The sequence below is a fragment of the Homo sapiens genome, chromosome 16, assembly GCF_000001405.40.
Source record: "Homo sapiens chromosome 16, GRCh38.p14 Primary Assembly".
Taxonomy (NCBI): domain Eukaryota; kingdom Metazoa; phylum Chordata; class Mammalia; order Primates; family Hominidae; genus Homo; species Homo sapiens.
In genome coordinates, this window is record NC_000016.10 from 294,998 (window position 1) to 315,102 (window position 20,105).

Sequence of the window (20,105 nt, forward strand, 5' to 3'; positions counted from 1 at the left end):
GGCTTGCAGTGAGCTGAGATCAGGCCACTGCACTCCAGCCTGGGCAACAGAGCAAGACTCCGTCTCAAAAAAAAAAAAAAAAAATTCTTTCATGGAGACTTTTTTTTTTTCTTTTTTTGAGACAGAGTTTTGCTCTTGTTGCCCAGGCTGCAGTGCAATGGCTCGACCTCGGATCTCGGCTCACTGCAATCTCCGCCTCCCAGGTTCAAGCGACTCTCCTGCCTCAGCCACCGAGTAGCTGGGATTACTGGCACTCGCCACCACACACGGCTAATTTTTTGTATTTTTTTTAGTAGAGATGGAGTTTTTGTCATGTTGGCCAGTCTGGTCTCGAACTCCGGACCTCAAGCGATCCACCTGCCTCGGCCTCCCAAAGTGCTGGGATGAGGCTTCTTTTTTTACATTTTATTTTTAACAGCTTTACTGGGATACAAATTATATACTAATCCTAGAGGCCGGCGGATAGCTTTGAGTCCAGGAGGCTGAGACTGCAGTGAACGGTGTGATTACACCACTGCACTTCAGCCAGGGTGACAGAGGGAGACTCTGTCGCAAAAAATTAAAAAAAAAGTCTTAATGAATAAAAAGTATAAGTATGTCTCAAAGTGGAATGTATTAATACTTATCCTAAAATATGGGACATGCAATATTTAGTATATACAGCTATTTAAAAAAAGGATTCGGCCGGGCACGGTGGCTCACGCCTGTAATCCTAGCACTCCAGGAGGCCGAGGCAGGCGGATCACCAAAGGTTGGGAGTTCGAGATCAGCCTAACATGGCAACCACCCCCTGCCCCGGTCTCTACTAAAAATACAAAAATCAGCCGGGCGTGGTGGCTCACGCCTGTAATCCCAGCTACTCGGGAGGCTGAGGCAGGAGAATTGCTTGAACCCAGGAGGTGGAGGTTGCAGTTAGCCAAGATTGCACCACTGCACTCCAGCCCGGGCGACAGAGCTAGACTCCGTCTCAAAAAAAAAGACTCGAAGGCCAGGAATGGTGGCTCATGCCTGTAGTCCCAGCATTTTGGGAGGCCAAGGTGGGAGGATCACTTGAGCCCAAAAGCTTGAGACCCAGCTGGGCAACACACTGAGACCCCCTCTACAAAAAATGAGCCAGGCAAGGTGCTGTGCACCCCTGTTCCCTCGGGAGCCCCAGAAAAACGATGAGCCCGTCCCCACCTCAGTCAGCACCGATGGGGACCCCAAGGCCTTGCGGGACAGGCTTCCAACACAGGCAGGAGGGCCACGCCCCAGGCGCTCAGCTGCCTCACAAGTTCTCATCAAGTAATGTGGAGGGAGATGCGTCCTGGCCAGGGCCTGGGTGAGGGTGGGGGGCAGATCAGGACCTAAGTCTGAGGAAGCTGGGGCCATCCACCCACCAGGGCCAACACTTCCCAGCTGACCTGCCTCTGACCACGACAGGAAGGTGGGGGGTACCACCTCTGTGGGGCCCCTGGCCCTCCTGCTGGGTTCCGGGCACGAGTGCAGGCCCAGGGGGCGAGCAGGAGCAACACCAAGACCGGCCCGGCGGGCAGCGGCAGGGGCTGGACCTGTGGCGCCGGGGCCTTGCTCCACACCACACACGAGGCCTCTGCCCTTCTGGGAGGAGAGAAGTGCTCACGCTACACAAGAGCCTTCCCCAGCCCTCAGCAGGACGGCCAGGTGTGAGCACAGAAGGCTCCTCCGTGGGCACCTCGGGAGTGATGGTCAGTGGGGGCCTTCCCAGGTGACTTAGGTCATTCTCATGTGGGGGTCAGACTGGAAATGACCTCCCGAGAGCATCTGTGCTGCCTGCGGGGTGACAGCCACGTCAGCTTCCCTCCTGCTCGGGGCTTCAGGGACAGCCTCTCTCTGGGGACATGAGGTTTTCCTCCTGGAGACGTGGGGCCCAGGGAGCCTGCTGGAGGGTGCCCGGGAGGGTGCCACAGTGACAGGGGAAGTGTGAGGCGTCACAGGCGACACTCGCCACACACACTGAAGCTGCACACACTGAGACTGTGCGGAGGCCAGGGGTGGCAAAGCAGGCCCCACGAGGCTGGCTGCGTGCGGGGTGCTCACCCGTGGCCGGTCCTGCGGTGCCTGCTGATCTCCTTTTCCCCCTCAATGATCCACTGCATGATTTTCTGGTTCTTCTCCGCATCCTCCGAGGCACCTGGCACCTCGGTGCTGGCGCTCTTCCCCGACTCAGCCTTCTTGGCATTTCTTTTGCACGCCACGCCCACCTTCCCACTGCAAGGGCAAGAGCTGCGAGTCGCCCTGGCCTCCGGTGGCCGAGGCTGTGCCCCTTCCTCGTCTGCGAGGCCCCCTCCTGGCATCTGTAAGGCTCCCGTGGTGCAGCCGCCGCCCGCTGTCCCCTGCCCGCTTGTCCCCCACCCGCTGTCCCCCGCCAGCTTGTCCCCCACCCGCTGTCCCCTGCCCGCTGTCCTGGTGCTGTCTGGGGGTTGGTTTCCTCTCTAAACACACAGGCAGTCACTGCTCACCCCCTGAAGACTGAGGGCCAGAGCGGGAGCCAGGGTCGGGCTGTGTCCCCTAACCTTCATCTCCCACCTGAGGTCACGGCGTGGACTCCCCTGACCCAGGGCCCAGTCCACTCCCTCCAGCAGAGGGGCCTCCTGCCTGTTGCTGGCGGTCCTGGGTTTCCTGAGTTTTATGAGGAGGTTCTGGCCTTCTGCAGGGACACAGCCTCACCCCAAGCCCCCTCCTCACTGACAGGCGCACGCTCACCTGTGGGCGAGGCCATCACTGGCGTTGGGGGCAGCGCCAACACTCTCTGAGTAGCCTCGGGACCTTGCCCCATGGCTGTGTGGTTCCAGGCCCCAGGCGAAGCTGCTCTGGGCCCTGCGGGTGGCCTCGGCCTCCACCTGCTCCTTGGGCCGGGCTGTGCTGTGGTGGACGTGGTGGTGGACGTGTCGGTGGTGGTGCAGGCCGGCCGCGTCCAGCTTCGCCCCTGACTTGGGTACGTGCTTCCCGTGCCCCGAGGCGGCACCCCCCAGTGCCACTGGCATCTTGGCCACGTGCCCACTGTCCGGGGAGCGATGGCCAGGCCCAGGCGACTGGCGGCCAGGTGTCCTCAGCACACGCTGTACGTGCTCGTCCAGGATGCTCTCAGGGTTCTCCTCGTGTGCATCCCGGAGCCCGGCACAGCCCATGTCCACACAGCGGGGCGGGAAGTGGTGCCAAGCGGGGGCGGGAGGCAGCTTGTGACACGGCCCTGGGGGCCCTGACGATGGATCGCCGTCCTCACCTTCCTCCTCCTGTGTGGGGACAAGCAGCACCATCACCTCTCAGCACCAGCTGCACACTTGGGGAAAACAAAAAGCATCAGGCCTGACCCAGCAGCCCCAGCAGATGCCGTCCCAGCCCAGGGTGGCCGGGGGCCCCTCGCCACCGGTCCTGTCCCTGAGGATGGAGAGGCAGGACGGGGCATAGACAGAAGGAGCGGAGACAGCAAGGCCTCAAGGAATGCAGCGTATGTATCGGCTGTGGGCAGAGCTCTGCACAGATTTAGTTTAGTTTTATTCTTTTTTTGAGACAAGTTCTTGCTCTGTTGCCCAGGCTGGAGAACAGTGGTGTGATCTCAGCTCACTGCAGCCTCCGCCTCCTAGGCTCAAGCGATCCTCCCACCTCAGCCTCCAGAATAGCGGAGACCACAGCCGTGTGCCACCACGCCCAGCTAATTTTTTTGTACTTTGGGGACAGATGCGATTCTCACCATATTGGCCAGGCTGGTCTCGAATGCCTGAGCTCAAGCAATCTGCCTGCCTTGGCCTGTATATATATATATTTTTTGAGACAGAGTCTTGCTCTGTTACCCAGGCTGGAGTGCAATGGTGCCATCTCGGCTCCCTGCAACCTCTGCCTCCTGGGTTCAAGTGATTCTCCTCCTTCAGCCTCCCAAGTAGCTGAGACTACAGGTGTGCGCCACCACACCCAGCTAATTTTTGTATTTTTAGTAGAGACAGGATTTCACTATGTTGGCCAGGCTGGTCTCGAACTCCTGACCTCATGATCCACCCACCTCGGCCTCCCAAAGTGTTGGGATGACAGGCATGAGCCGCCGCGCCCGGCCTCCCATTATATTTTAAGGAGAACCTTGTACAGAACGGCTCTTGGGTTATGTACATGTTGTGATGCTGCCTGACGAGCTTCCACATGAAGCCGGTGGAGTTTCACTTGATTCTCCAAGTTAACAGGTGCTGAAGCTTATCTGTCAGAGCAAACATTTGATCACTTTAATTCCAAGTTGCATCTCATACTTATTTTCTCATCTTATTGGACTGACAAACTAAAACAGTATTGAGTAAATCTGGTGTCAATACAAAAGAAAGAGAGGGAACTAAGTTACCATGTATCTATGTATGTATTTATTTATTTAGAGTCAGAGTCGCTCTGTCAGCCAGGCTGGAGTGCAGTGGCACGATCTTGGCTCACTGCAACCTCCACCTCCCGGGCTCAAGCAATCCTCCTGCCTCAGCCTACCGAGTAGCTGGGATTATAGGAGTGTGCCACCATGCCTGCCTAATTTTTTTGTATTTTTAGTAGAGACGGGGTTTCACCATGTTGGCCAGGCTGGTCTCAAACTCCTAACCTCAGGTAATCCACCACCCTCGGCCTCCCAAAGTGCTGGGATTACAGGAGTGAGCCACCACAACCGGCCTATTTATTTTCATTTTTTTGAGACAGAGTCTCGCTCTGTCACCCAGGCTGGAGTGCAGTGGCACGATCTCGGCTCACTGCAACCTCCGTCTCCCGGGTTCACACCATTCTCCTGCCTCAGCCTGCCCAGTAGCTGGGACTACAGGTGCCCGCCACCACGCCCGGCTAATTTTTTATATTTTTAGTAGAGATGGAGTTTCACCGTGTTAGCCAGGATGGTCTCGATCTCCCGACCTCGTGATCTGCCCACCTCGGCCTCCCAAAGTGCTGGGATTACAAGTGTGAGCCACCGTGCCCGGCCTATTTTTATTTATTTAATTTTTTTTTGAGACGGAGTTTCACTCTTGTGTCCCAGGCTGTAGTGCAATCTCCGCCTCCCGGGTTCAAGTAATTCTCCTGCCTCAGCCTCCCGGGTAGCTGGGATTACAGGCACCCACCACCATGCCCAGCTAAATTTTTTGTATTTTTAGTAGAGACTGGGTTTCACCCTGTTTGCCAGGCTGGTCTCGAACTCCTGACCTCAGGTGATCCACCCACCTTGGCCTCCCAAAGTGCTAGGATTACAGGTGTGAGCCACCACACCTAATCGCAGTGGTGCCATCACAGCTCAAGGCAGCCTCAACCTCCAGGGGTCAAGCGATCCTCCTGCTTCAGCCTGCCAAGTAGCTGGGACTACAGGTGCATGCCACCATGTCCCATTAATTTTTTCTTTTTCTTTTTTTTTTGTAGAGATGGGGAATCTCACTATGTTGTCCAACCTGCTCTTAAATTCCTGGCCTCAAGTGATCCTTCTGTCTTGGCCTCTCAAAGTGTTGGGATTACAGATGTGAGCCACTGTGCCCCACCTACCTCTATATTTTAATATAAACAAACCTCCCAACGTTTAGCACCCAACTCTCACACCTGCAAAAGTATCCAAATGCAACTGGAACAGGCGTGCCCCAGAGCTGGTGTGGGCTTGGCTGCGGGCACCTGCACTGGGGCTGAGGGTGAAATATGGCACTAAAGAGGACAGACGGATGCTGGAGCAGAGCCGGGGGACAGGTGGGTGGTGGGCATCCCCTGGCGGATGCAGCTATGCTGCCTCCCTTTCCTTGGTTTTGTAGGACTAAAGGGCCCGGGCACTCTGGGGAGAAATCTTAACCGAGGGTCTTCCTAGGGACTAAAAGTGTTTGGAGTTTTGATGCCGTTCACTGCCTTGGCCGAGCTCCACATCGGCAGGAATTCTATCATGGGGCTGTGAAATGTTACAGATTAACTTAACCACTCGGCTAATGGTTTTTGTTTTCTTCTTTGTGCTTTAATTTCCCAAATTTCACAATGAAAATAGGTTATTTAAAAAATCTGGAGTTCACGCCTGTAATCCCAGCACTTTGGGAGGCCGAGGCGGGTGGATCACAAGGTCGGGAGATCGAGACCATCCTGGCTAACATGGTGAAACCCCGTCTCTACTAAAAATACAAAAAAATTAGCCGGGCGTGATGGTGGGCGCCTGTAGTCCCAGCTACTGGGGAGGCTGAGGCAGGAGAATGGCGTGAACCCGGGAGGCAGAGCTTGCAGTGAGCTGAGATCGTGCCACTGCACTCCAGCCTGGGCGACAGAGCGAGACTCTGCCTCAAAAAACAAAACAAAACAAAGCAAAAAAAAAAAAAAAACTGGAGTTATTCCTTTTAGGGAAGGACCACCACTCCTGGGCCCTGGTGGTGCTGGATCCACACACCTGTGGGCACTGCCATGCTCCCTGTTGCTGGGACAGAGCCAGGACTCCATGGGGTGGGGAAGCCTTGAGAGTCACAGGTGAGAGCCACACACTCAGCACCTGTGGCTACGCCTGCCTTTAACATGTCTTGCTTAAGGCCAGGCACGGTGGCTCGTGCCTGAAATCCCAGCACTTCGGGAAGCTGAGGTAGGAGGATCACTTGAGGCCAGGAGTTCAAGACCAGTGTGGGTAATATAGCAAGATTCCATCTCTACAAAAATATTTTTTTTAAAAAATGTCTCACTCAAAATGGGAACCTGCCCTACTAGAAGCACACCCTGCGAACGGGTGAAGGCGCAAAGATCAGAAAATTACAGACGGCCAACATGACAGCAAAGCGTTCCACAGAAAATTACAGCGGCCGGCGACCGACACAACAACAAAACAGCAAAGGCTTCTGCAGAAAATGACAGCGGCCAACACGGCAGCAAAACAGCAAAGGCTTCCTTTCTTACGTTTCTGTTGTGAGCATGTTTGTTTAAGGGCTGCTAACCTTCACCTGCCACCCAAATGATGATGCTGACGTCACAGCCCGTGGGCCCGGATGTGGCCTGCGGACATGTCCATATTCTTGGTAACTCTGTTCCCAATGTTTGGTTTTCAGACAACAGCCCAGTAAGGCTCCCAGGCAGGCCCCAATGCCGCTGGCCTCAGGTGCGCACAGCCAGCCTCCTCAGGGCCACCCCAGGAAGCAAGCGAGCCGCTCCAGTGACCACCAGGTCTGCAAGGCGAGGCCTCACTCTCACCGCCACAGGGACCACGCGGCACTGATGCTGCTCCTGCCAGCCCTGCGGCCCCGGCTAGGTTCCCGATATTGGAGGACAAATTCCCTGAGTCCTTTCCTTGGGGGACTGTGGAGAAGGTGAACTTGGCACCTGCAGAGCCCTGGAGCTGGCACCACCCACACCTGTGCCCTACCCAGATGAGGGTCACCCTCAGACCAACGGCCAGGGGAGACGAGAGGATGCAGCTCCACATGGTGGCAAAACAATTTACTGAGGATAAAACAAATCGACGTCTGTGTGTGAGACATTTCCACACAAACCCCTTCATGGGGAGCTCCACCATCTGCAGCGACCACACCTGGTCCCCGCCATGAATCCCAGCTGCTCAACGAGCTATGTAAGGTCTGCCTGCCATCTCAATGGAGTGCCCGGCGCACGGTTTCCCAGATGGGCACCACCAGCGGCACCCTGCGTCCACCCTCACGGTGGCATCTCCAGGCTTCAGGGCACAGCTCACCCGGGTAGCGGGTGAAAGAGTGAGTGTACCGAGGGGTCTCCTGTGGTCTGAGGAGAGCTGAAGGTCTGCATTTTACATCAAGGATCAGGTGAATGGAAACGCTCAGAAGTGTATACATTTTCTAAGTATTCATATTCACGAACATTGAAAGGAGAATGAAGGACCACCCCCCGACTCGATGGTGCCCACTGACCTCCCATAGGAATTAATCTGGCTAAGAGAAAAGCAAAGGCATTTTTTTTTGGCACCCAGGCTGGAGTGCAGTGGCACAGCCTCGGCTCACTGTAGACCTGACCTCCTGGGCTCAAGTGATCCTCCCACCTCAGCTTCCTGAATACCTGGGACCACAGGTGTGTGCCACCACGCCCAGCTAATTTTGAAATTTTTTCTAGAGACAGGAATTTGCCACATTGCCCAGGCTGGGCTCAAACTCCTCGGCTCAAGTGCTTCACTCGCCTCAGCCTCCCATAGTGTTGGGGTCACAGGTGTGCACTGCCCGCCCGGCCAGCAAAGGCAGCCTTGCAAGTGAGACGACCAGGTGGGAAGGGGTCTCCAGAGAAACTCCAGCCGGCCTGCGCACTGGGAGGAGCGCACACTGGGGTGGAGCCACAGAAGTCTGCACCATTTGCAGCGGGGAGGAGCCAGGCCCCGCGTCTTCCTAGGTGGAACCTGGGATTCAATCTGCGAGGCGGGAAGCACACTAGCAGAACTCTGGCTTTGCGGGAAGTGATTTTTTTTTTTTTTGAGGTAGAGTTTCACTCTTGTCATCCAGGCTGGAGGGCAGTGGCGCAATCTTGGCACACTGAAGCCTCTGCCTCCTGGGTTCAAGCGATTCTCCAGCCTCAGCCTCCTGAGTAGTTGGGATTACAGGCACCTGACACCAACCCGGCTAATTTTTGTATTTTTCATTAGAGATGGGGTTTCACCATTTTGGCCAGGCTGGTCTCAAACTCCTGACCTCAGGTGATCCGCCCGCCTCGGCCTCCCAAAATTGCTGGGATTACAGGTGTGAGCCACTCGCCCGCCCGTTTCCCTTTTTACCTTTTCACCCAATAAACTCTGTCCTTCTCACCCTTCGAATTGTCTGTGAGCCTAATTTTTCGTGGCCATGTGAAAGGGACCTGTTTTTAGCTGAACTAAGCAAAGAGTCCTACAACACAAGTGCCTAGAGGGCCGTGCACCATGGCCTCAAGGAACCAAAAGTGACCAGGAGGTGGCAGAAAGTCTCAGGCATCGCAGCCCCCGACTGCACGCCACTAGCCCTTCCTGCTCTGCACATGCTCATCTCACTTGCCAGCCACACGGGGTGAAGAAGTTGAGATCACCCGCTGCAGTCTCAGCTTGTGGCCCTGCCACCCACAAAGGATCAGGTACACAGCAGGCAGCCGTGTCACCCCCGGCCCCTTCAATGCAGGTGACCAAGGTGGGTCTCTGGGCCTCTGAGGGTGGCATGGGGCCGCTGGGACATCCCATCTTGAGCTGGGGCTCGGCTGCAGAGAAAGGGGAACAGGGGACTCAGCCGGGAGGCCTCATGGGTCAGCAGGCCTCGGCCAGCCCCGGGCATCCCCATGAAGAACATCAGGACATCCCGGCGGCAAGAAAACAGCACGACACCGACGCGGAGCGCGACACCGACGCGGCCCACTCACCATGCGCACGCGCTTCAGCCGCTCCTCCAGCTTCTCCTCGGCCTCCCGCGTGCGCTGCACAGCCTCCAGGCGGTGGATGAGCTCCTCCGCGAACTTCTGAGGCTCCACGCGGACCTCCTTCGGCACCCGGTACGTGCGCTGCGAGGGACAGGACTGTGAGGCACGGGGGTTGAAAGGTCACAGGCTAAACATTTCTTTGTGAAGGGAAAGAGCGTGTGCTATCTCTGTTGTATTTTATTTTATTTTTTTGAGACAAACTCTTGCTCTGTCACCCAGGCTGGAGTGCAATGGCGTGATCTTGGCTCACTGCAACCTCTGCTTCCCGGGTTCAAGCGATTCTCCTGCCTCGGTCTCCCAAGTAGCTGGGACTACAGGTGCCCGCCACCACGCCTGGCTAATTTTTGTATTCTTAGTAGGGATGGGGTTTCGTCATGTTGGCCAGGCTGGTCTCGAACTCCTGACCTCAGGTGATCTGCCCACCTCAGCCTCCCAAAGTGCTGGGATTACAGGTGTGAGCCACCGGGCCCGGCCTTTGTTGTATTTTAAAGCAAGAGTTTACTTTTTCCTCCTTTCAGTTGGGAATCAACTTCCTCACGGTCCCCCTTTTCGTGTCCGGCCAGTCTGTCCTTCATTCCCCACGGACCCAGGAGACAGGGCTGCTTCTTTCCAGCGTCTCCCGACTACCAGATCAAGAGGCCTGAGCAGGGCAGCTTCAGGACACACAGCCGGCGCTCCCCACCCACTTCAGAGAAGCACTCGAGGAGACGCCTGCAGAAGGTGTGAGCAGAAGGCCCCCGAGGCCCCACGGCAGGGAAGGACGCCCAGGATTTGGAGGACAGGGGAGGTCTGGGAAAGGCAGGCTTTCCTTTTTAAAAGAATCTAAAGGCCAGGTGGTGGCTCACGCCTACAGTCACAGCATTTTGGGAAGCAGAGGCGAGCAGATTACTTGAGCCCAGAAATTAAGAGACCAGTCTGGCCAACAAAGTGAGACCTCATCTCTACAAACAAAAATTTTTTTTAATTAGCCGGGTGTGGTGGCACCTGTGGTTCCGACTACTTGGGAGGCTGAGGTGGGAGGATCGGATCGCATAAGTCCTGGGAGATCAAGGCTGCAGTGAGCCGAGATCATGCCACTGCCCTGCAGCCTGGGTGAAAGAGTGAGACCCTGTCTCAAAATAATAACAATACATCTGCAATGTATTTTATAGTAATATACCATATAGCTTGTTTGTTTTTGGTTTTTTTTGTTTTTGTTTTTGAGACAGGGTCTCGCTCTGTCACCCAGGCTGGAGTGTAGTGGCGCGATTTCGGCTCACTGCAAGCTCCGCCTCCCGGGTTCACGCCATTCTCCTGCCTCAGCCTCCCGAGTAGCTGGGACTACAGGCGCCTGCCACCATGCCCGGCTAATTTTTTTGTATTTTTAGTAGAGACAGGATTTCACCGTGTTAGCCAGGATGGTCTCAATCTCCTGACCTCGTGATCCGCCTGCCTCAGCCTCCCAAAGTGCTGGGATTACAGGCGTGAGCCACTGCACCCGGCCCCCCTATAGCTTTTTTTAAAAATAGAGATGGGGGTCTTGCTGTCCAGGCTGGCCTCAAACTCCTCCCACCTAGGCCTCCCAAAGCACTGGGATTACCGGTGTGAGCCACCACGCCTGGCCCTGTGTAACTTTCAAGGGTACTTCATTTTAAATTTCAAACTTCAAAACAGCTGCAAAAATAGAACAAGGAATTCCCGTCCACCTTCACCCAGATTCCCCAAGGGCTCACATTCTGCCATAACTGCTTTATCATCCCCTTACCGGCAGGCACATGCGTACACACACATGCCCACACATGCGCAGGCACACACACCCACACACACGTACACACACACGCACACACACAGGCACGCTCACTTTTCTGAACCAGTTAGAGTGTATTTAACAAAAGCAAGGTCGCTCTCATACCTAACCACAGTACAAATATGGATGGTTAAAAAAACTGACCCTGATACAATAACATCACGTGGCAGATCTTATTCCAATTTTGCCAGCTGCTCCAATAACATCCTTCATAGCAAAACATGTTTTAAAATCCAGGCCGCCAGTGTCTAAGCCGCGGAGGGATGCAGCCAGGGACAGCTCCCCTGTGACAAGCAAGCAGGGTGGCAGATGGGAGGTGGGACCCTCCGTGTGTGTGGCCTTCCTGCCCTCCCGCCGTGGGCTCTGGCGCAGTCCTGGCTCTGTGCACCCGTTTCTCATCTACACAATGAGAGTAGAAACAGCATCTAAACCTGAGAAGGATGGGGTGAGACTGGACACAGGGGCCACACAAAAGGCCTCCTCCAGGCTCAGATGTTCCACAGTAGACGAGGCTCAGAGAGAGGCTGGCCCTGGAGCCACAGGCTTCACTTCAAGGAACGTGGAGTATGAAGGGGCCAAGGGCACGCCCAGGACACTGGGTGATGCCTCAGAGCTGGGAAAAGTCACTGCTGGAGTCTGGGCCGTGCACAGCGCCAGGAAGGGGTCTGTCCCGGAGCCAAGGAGGAGCATCCAGTGCTTCTGGAAGATGATGAGGAAGGCTGGGGCTGGCACCAGCAGGGATGTGGGCCGGTGTGTCCGGGTGTGTGGACGGCAGGGCGTCCACACAGATGGCAAGGAACTAACAAGCCACCCTTTCCCGCTGCACCCGGGGCCTGGAGGCTGGGTGGCTGGGGGGCCATGCTGGCTTTTCCGTGCCCAGTGCTGGGCAAGGCGCAGACGTGGGAGTGGCACACACAGGAATGGGAGCTGCCAGCACTGCAGGGACCACGGCTGCTGTGTCTGCAGACAGCCAGAGGCGCAGACAGACGCGCTTATGGTCTGAACAGTCAGCACCACAGAGACCAAGGGCAGGATGAAAAGCCCATCATCAGGCCCAGAGAGCAGCACGGCTGAGGGGCCAACAGGAGCACTCATGCCGCCACGCGAGCTCCATAAAAAGACTCCAGGTGGCCTTGCAGGCTGCGTCACCACGGTTCTGAGAACAGCAAAACTGTCAGAGTCATCAGATTTACAGAGAATGGCAACCTCTCCAGCTTTAGAGGAACAGAAAAAAATATCATAAAGGAAAAAGCCAAGTAAATGAAAACGTGAAACTTCCAAGTAATTGTAAAGGCTAAAGATGAAGAGGCCCCTCCCCGCAGGGCACGCATTCTGGTACCAGATGCTGTAAAGCCACGGCCCCCAACCTTTTGGCACCAGGGACCAGTTTTGTAGAAGACAATTTTTCCATGGACAGTGGGGGCAGGGGGCTTTTCGGGATGAACCTGCTCCAACTCTGATGGGCAGGTGTTAAAGAGTCTCACAAGGTGCACACAGCCTGGGCCTCCGTGGGTGCAGCCACAACAGGGTTCTGCTCCTATGAGCGTCTAAGCTACTCCCCTCCTGCTGTCCCTGCTGCAGAGCCATGGACTCACCAGAGAAACGGCATAGCTTTTGCAAAACCAAGGCCCTCAACAGAGCAGAAGTGGGCAGTGCAACCACGGCACGTCCTGCTAGCTTATCGGCTTCCTGGGCCTCCCCCCGCCTCTGCTCACCACCATCCTCGGGTCCAGTTTCCCAGTAGCAGCAGTGAGCAGGCCCCGGGCAGCTGTGCCCGTGATGTGGGTTTCTCACTTGGGCCTCTGGCTGAGGGACCTCCCACCGAAGGTTCCAACCACAGCCCCACCTGACAGGCCACATGGACCTGATGCAGGTTCCTACAGAGCCTCCGATGAGGTTGTTTGCTGCAGACTGTTCACACAGAAACGCACACTGCGGCCCCCACCCCACCACACAAGGGCCCTCTGGGGGTGCGGAACGCAGCAGGGCCTGCTCCTGTCTGTGCCTGCCGCCTCTGTTGGCTTTCATCTTCCTGGCGACTCAAATGTGACCCTCCAGGACCTGAGGGCTCTGTGCTTCCCTCGGTTCTGGAAGGTTCTGACGACGACACCAGGGACTCGCCATAGGCATCCTCTTTTCTCTGTGTTGCATCCTGAGAGGTCTTTCCAGGTCCACGTTCCAGGCACCAACGCACTCCACAGCTTCTGTCCTTCCTGACCCTTCTGAGGGGAGGTTGTCTGCCTGATGCCCCCTCATCCAGAGTCTGTGGCATGCACTTTCTACACACGAAGACTCTGACCAGCACCCCAAAATCGGGGCACCCCTGTGGACAGAAGCCTCCCGCGGGCCTCAGCCCACTCAAGCCCCGTCCTCATGGGCACAGAGGGCTGTTCCGGGCCTGTGGTTGCTCAGCTGTCTTGTCTCTCGGGCCTCCGTCATCCCAGCGGCTCCGCGGGTTCTTGACGTTCAGGACCTGTGACTTGAAAATCAGAGGCCGGTGGCTGTGCAGGTGCCCTCGACTTGGGCTGTGACCTCATGATAGCCTTGGGCCATGCCTGGCAGGCAGGGCCCCAGATCTTCCACAGCACAAGCACGCACACACGCACGCACCCACACACAGCCTACAGTGTCAGCCACTTTTTGTTAAGTAGACACCATCAGTGCCTAGTTTTAGCCAAACCTGAGTCAAGGGTTGGCTGGCATCTTCTCAGAAGTGATAACAAACCAACATCCTTTCTTTTCAACCATAAAGAAATTCCTGACTTGGAAACTGATGTCTGCAGAAAAGCTAAAAGGCTAAGAAATCCTGACCAAGACTGTGTCAGTGCTCTCAAAATGCCTACTTCCCTGCACAGACACTCAGATGGTCACGTGGTTTAACCTCAGACACCGCGGCTAACAGTGCGTTGCGCAGTGGCTCACACCTGTAATCCCAGCACTTTGGGAGGCTGAAACGGGCGGATCACGAGGTCAGGAGATCGAGACCATCCTGGCTAATACGGTGAAACCCCATCTCTACTAAAAATACAAAAAATTAGCCGGGCGTGGTGGCAGGCGCCTGTACTCCCAGCTACTCGGGAGGCTGAGGCAGGAGAATGACGTGAACCCGGGAGGCAGAGCTTGCAGTGACAGCAAAACTCCTATCTCAAAAAAAAAAAAAGAAAACACTTTTCTCATCTTCCCGTAACATCTTTCCTGTTCAAAGTCAACCCATCAAAATAAGGAAAGATCATTAATCTGTTCATCAGCGCAGGAATGCTCTGTAGACGGAGTCAGGCTGTGCTGGGCTCCAGCTAGCACTCAGCTCCATGACCTACTGCCCAGCCAAGCCCCCATGCCCGAGACTGGGCAAAGGTGCCATTATTCTATGCAACAGCGAAAGCCAAGGCAGCTTTAAAGTCAAGACGTTTACCTGGAGACGACCACTGTTCAGCCACAAAAACACCAAGTTTTCCCCAAGGGCTGTGCAGGGGCCAGGCCTGGGCTCTGAGTCTTGAGAAAGGCTCAGAGCTCCCCCTCTTGAGGGGAAGCATCCACCTTCACAAGGCAAGACACTTCCTGCCACCAGGGAGGGTGTGGCCTTGGGGCATGGGGGCTCTTCTGAATGAACAGCTCCCTCTGGGCCCTAAATGCTGCCTGAGACTTGATGTCCCCTGCTGCCCTCAGGGACTGGCCACTTGCAGATGTTGCTGGGATCACACGCTTACGCCTAGAGGTAAGCCTGGCTCGTGGGAGGCCAGGCAAGTGCCTTTCCCGCGGACCAGTTCACCAGGCCCACGCTGAGCGGGGAGGACGATGGGCTGAGGACCGCAAAGCCGGTACTTACGGGAATGTGAGGTAGGGGCACCCGCCCATTGACCTGCACGCTCTCCTGCATCTCCCTGCGGTGCTGCTTACGGATCCTGTATGGGGGGATCCCATCCCTGTCCAGGAGAAAGAGGCAGCCGTTAACTCAGAGAGGAGCAGGAGGGCCAGCACCGTGCCAATAGAGCTCCTGGCCCCGACCGCCGGTCAGCAGGCAATGATGAGGACACCTGTGAGCCACCACCACTGAGACACGTGCACACAGGTGATGCAGGCACCCATGTGTGCACAGGGGAACATGTACACACAAAGGTTCACACGTGATGGTAAAGCCCAGGTGCCCAGCCACGCGTCTTCCTAGCTGGTATTTACTGGGCACCTCCACAAAGCCTCCTTGTGCCTGCCTGTTCTTTAGGGCCTGACAGCTAAGAGTGGTTTCTACATTTTTTTTTCTTCTTTTTTTTGAGATGGAGTCTCGCTCTGTCGCCCAGGCTGGAGTGCAGTGGCACAATCTCGGCTCACTGCAAGCTCCACCTCCCGGGTTCACGCTATTCTCCTGCCTCAGCCTCCTGAGTAGCTGGGACTACAGGTGCCCGCCACCACGCCCAGCTAATTTTTTTGTATTTTTAGTAGACACGGGGTTTCACTGTGTTAGCCAGGAGAGTCTCGATCTCCTGACCTCGTGATCCGCCCGCCTCGGCCTCGCAAAGTGCTGGGAGTAATTACAGGCGCAAGCCACGGCGCCCGGCCAAGGTTTCTACATTTTTAAAGGGTGGGGGAAGAATCTGTGACAGGGACTGCATGCGGCTGCAAAGCCTCACATATTCACTGCCAGCCCTGCACGGGAAACGTTTGCTGGCCCCTGCTTGTGGCCTAGACCACTGTGCAGTGTGCCTGCCTTGGAGGGCATTGCTAAATGGACCAAAAACATTTCAGGATTGCACAGTGGGCAGCCAGGACAACCAGTGCCCCACGGAAAGATAGGAGATGCCAAGGCTGCACACTCTGCTTCTCTCCAGGAGCTGGCAGGGCAGTGTGGTCTCTGAGGGAGGCACAAGGTAGCTCTTTAGCAACAGGTTTTCTTTTATTTTTTTCTTTTTGAGACGGAGTCTTGCTCTGTCGCCCAGGCTGGAGTGTAGTGGCGCGATCTCGGATCACTGCAAGCCGCTCCCGGGTTCACGCCATTCTCCTGCCTCAGCCTCCCGAGTAGCTGGGACTACAGGTGCCCGCCACCACGCCCGGCTAATTTTTTGTATTATTTAGTAGAGACGGGGTTTCACTGTGTTAACCACGATGGTCTCAATCTCCTGACCCCGTGATCCGCCTGCCTCGGCCTCCCAAACTGCTGGGATTACAGGCATGCGCCACCGCGCCCAGCCCGCAACAGGTTTTCTTTATGAACCCTTTAGAAGATCATTAAAACACGAAAGTCAGATTATACATGGTCTGAATAATTACCCCAGGGTTAAGATAACTCACGCACAACCATCCTTCATGAAAGCCCTCGCCCTCTCCCAGCTATTAGAAAAGCTGCCTTCGGGCTGGGCGCAGTGGCTCATGCCTGTCATCCCAGCACTGTGGGAGGCCGAGGCGGGCGGATCACGAGGTCAGGAGATCGAGACCATCCTGGCTAACACGGTGAAACCCCGTCTCTACTAAAAATACAAAAAATTAGCCAGGTGTGGTGGCGAGTGCCTGTAGTCCCAGCTACTCGGGAGGCTGAGGCAGGAGAATGGCGTGAACCCGGGAGGCGGAGGTTGCAGTGAGGCGAGATTGTGCCACTGCACTCCAGTCTGGGCAACAGAGCAAGACTACGTCTCAAAAAAGAAAAGGAAGAAAGAAAGAAAAGCTGCCTTCGGAAGCACGGCAGCTCCAGGGATCCGTGCCGCACCCAGGGGCCTCTCAGAGCTGCCAGGAGACACAGGACGACTGAAGAGAGCGCCCGACCCAGGGCTGCGTGGCAGACACGGCAACTCCTGAGGCATCCTCGGCTGTCACAGCACCACTGAGTGTTGTGGGCAATGGTGAGCCGAGTCCAGGTCTGGCTCAGCCACGGTGGGCGTCAGGAACAAGTGAATCTAAAACTCACCTAACACTTGCCTCGGGGTTTGTTGAAGTGTCCTGAAGCCACCAACCTACTGGTTTCTTAGACATGATACTTGGATTGGGTAACCTCCACAGGCCTCCGTGGATTAGACACTGACCCCACATCTGTGTCCACAGCCCACAGCCTCTCGAGTGCCATGTGGAATGTTGTGAGCTTGCCGCCAGCACAAAAGCTGAGGGCAGCTGCCCCACCGGAATGATGCTCTTCACCTGTCCACTTTTTACCTCTGATTTGCTTTCGAGTACGTGTAGCAATTTCACATTCCAAATTGTTAAACACTTCAGTACAAACCAAGATGAACAGAATATCAAGAAAAAAAATACCTATTTATTTTAGGTCCTCCCTTTAGGAAACATATGTCCCTTTTCTTGGAGAGAATTAGGAGACTTTTTGAGAAAACTGAGTTGGCAGGTTACTTTTTGTTGTAGTAACAGAGTTTTGGGGAAGAGGGAAACCAGATGCTAGGATGCATGTCAGGCGCTCCGTGGGCTGCACTGCACCCAACCACCTGGCCCGAGGCTTCAGGACCACGGCAGGCACTGCTTCAACTCCAGTAACCTCAAGTCAGGTGCTGCTAAAATCACGTCAACATTTTATTTTGAAGATTCAAAATTAAACGAGGATGAAAGAAACCAGGAGAAGCCACACACAGCAGCTCTGCCCGGAAGGGGCAGGGAGCTGCCCCTGCACTACCACAGCTACCTGGGGAAAAACCAAGGGGCCAAGACCTACGGCAATGTGGGCTGGCTGAATCTGGTTCAGAAACAGAATGTGACAACTTGTTCTCCTCATCTGAAATTCAGGTTTTGGAAAAATGTTTAAAGACAGGCAAATGAAAAGAACAAACCAGCCAGGCACAGTGGCTCATGCCCATAATCCCAGCACTCGTGAGGCTGAAGTGGGTGCAGTTTGCGCCCAGGAGTTGGAGACTGCATAGTGAGGCCTCGTCTCCACAAAAATAATCATCATCATCAGCCGGATGCAGTGGCTCATGCCCGTAATCCCAGCACTCATGAGGCTGAAGTGGGTGCACCGTTTGAGCCTCGGAGTTCGAGACTGCATAGTGAGGCCTCGTCTCCACAAAAATTATAATAATCATTAGCCAGGCGTGGTGGCGCACGCTTGTAGCCTCAGCAACTCTGAAGGCTGAGGCAGAATTGCTTGGGACCAGGAGACAGAAGCTACAGTAAGCCAAGATCGCACCATTGCAGTCCAGCCTGGGTGACAGTGAGATCCTGTCTCAAAATGAAAAGAACCATAAAAATGGTACATACAGTGGGACCATCACTTAAAACATATTCATAAAAAGATGGGCAGAATCACCAGTAGGTGAGAAGTCCCTCTCTCCTCCTCCAGCCCTATCCAGATCTCCAGGCTTTCCTCATGGAGAACCCAGCTAAGCGGGAAAGACATCTGGGACACCACTGGCCGCAGTGGGGATGGAGGGTGGTGGTCCGCGGGCTCCAGCTGCTCACAAGTTCATAGCCGCTGGCTTCCTCCAATGCTGAGGCTGCTGCAGGGAGACCCTGGTTCCTGCGGCTCGGCCCCAGCCCTGGCTAGGATGGCTGGTGGGCAGGTGGCGTGTGGCGCACAGACCAGAGCTGGGAAGGTCTGAGCTTCATGGGTAACCAAAACCCCAAATGACCCCCACAGGCTGGCAGCCAGTGCCCTACTGCAACAAGACTGTTGGCATCATCTAATGGCTGGGGTGTACATAGGTCCCAAAAAGCCAGCTGCGAAGCACAGGGGAAGAGGTCATAAAACAAGCACGTTCCTACACATGGGGTTTCCCTGGACAATGAAAGAATAAGCTTCTGCCTGTCACCTCGAGCGTCACACATGTGTGGCCCAGGCCTCAGCACAACCACAGCATCTTCCCTCACTCCTGCTCCCAGCCCCTTGCCAAGTGGGTGACAGGGACAAGACAGGACCCTGTACTGCACCAGCGTCGGCAGAAACGCCACCCTCAGGGACCACATCACTCGCCACAGCCAGTGGTGAGGCAGCTGGCCTGTGCCTGTCTTTAAGCTGAAACCCCAGACTCTGAAAACCAAAGAGCAAACTCTAGCCCGGGCAGCCTACAGACTGTCTTAGGTTCACCCTCGATCCTTCCTCATAGGGAGGTCCCAGCAGCCCTGGTCACAGAGAGAAGCAACCGACACAAAGCTGAGCCCTCACTTGTACTGCTTGGAGGACAGCCTCTGCGGTACAGCCTGCCTGCATGTCCAGACGCACTCTCACTGAGACCTGGGGAGCCAGGAAACACTTTTCCTGAAGACAAAGCCCAGGCATCTCTGGGTCAGCACGAAGCCCCCTCTGAGCTGGCCGCGCTCTGCAGCAGGGTGGGACTTACACGCTGCCATCCGCAAGAAACAGGGTGTCTGGGGCAGGACTTACACATTGCTGTCCTCAAGGGACAAGGTGTCTGGGACCGGACTTACACACTGCTGTCCGTGAGGGACTGGGTATCCGGGGCGGGACTTACACGCTGCTGTCCGTGAGGGACAGGGTGTCTGCATCGCTGGACAGGCTCTGCTGCTCGCTGTCGTTGGCACTGGTGGCTGGGGCCAGGGCATAGCCGGCATTGACATAATAGGGGTTGACTGGCTCCCGCCAGGATCCATACCTGCAAACAGGCAAGCAGGGCATGTTAGTGACAGCCTGCCAACAGCCTCTCATTTTATTTCACATTTTCATGTTATCTGAATATCTCAATGTATTAATTAAAAACACAAGCAATTTGGAGAAAATAAGGAGCATGGAGAAAAGACCAACATCTCCACCTGTCCTCTTGTCCCTCTGTCCTTTTCAACGGGGTGCATTAAAGCACCGGGCATCTTTCCAGATCTCTCCTCTGATTTTAGGCGGGGGCTTTGGTGCACACACAGAGCATCCACACGTGATCATTTGGGTTTGTTTTCCGTGCACGGTACTAGAAATGGGACGCAGATGTTCTGCTCATTCTGCAGTGCGCGTCGGGAGAGGACACTGGGTTTTGATCAGGATGAGGCCCTTGGGATTCAGCTCAGACGTCTCTGCACCTGT

General features: G+C 55.4%; 1 protein-coding gene across 13 annotated transcripts in view, besides 2 other annotated features; it reads right to left on the bottom strand.

The window, feature by feature from the left end:
- The window catches only part of AXIN1 (axin 1), a 65,284-nt gene that overhangs the window by 7,558 nt on the left and 37,621 nt on the right, over nucleotides 1-20,105 (bottom strand). For 4 of the 13 annotated variants that reach the window (NM_181050.3, NM_003502.4, XM_047434732.1 and 1 more), the window contains 5 exons: nucleotides 19,546-19,686; nucleotides 14,976-15,072; nucleotides 9,307-9,444; nucleotides 2,725-3,254; nucleotides 2,059-2,229 (listed from right to left, as the gene is read on the bottom strand). In NM_181050.3, coding sequence (NP_851393.1) covers nucleotides 2,059-2,229; nucleotides 2,725-3,254; nucleotides 9,307-9,444; nucleotides 14,976-15,072; nucleotides 19,546-19,686 — 1,077 coding nt within the window. The other 9 variants (XM_011522683.3, XM_011522682.3, XM_011522686.1 and 6 more) reach the window with 5 other exon arrangements.
- Nucleotides 14,417-14,931: an enhancer, noted in NCBI's record as "H3K4me1 hESC enhancer chr16:359414-359928 (GRCh37/hg19 assembly coordinates)". NCBI's record gives its function as "activates a minimal SCP1, AML or CMV promoter by ChIP-STARR-seq in primed H9 embryonic stem cells {active_cell/tissue: H9 hESC(primed)}" and the evidence as "EXISTENCE:reporter gene assay evidence [ECO:0000049][PMID:30033119]".
- Nucleotides 14,932-15,446: an enhancer, noted in NCBI's record as "H3K4me1 hESC enhancer chr16:359929-360443 (GRCh37/hg19 assembly coordinates)". NCBI's record gives its function as "activates a minimal SCP1, AML or CMV promoter by ChIP-STARR-seq in primed H9 embryonic stem cells {active_cell/tissue: H9 hESC(primed)}" and the evidence as "EXISTENCE:reporter gene assay evidence [ECO:0000049][PMID:30033119]".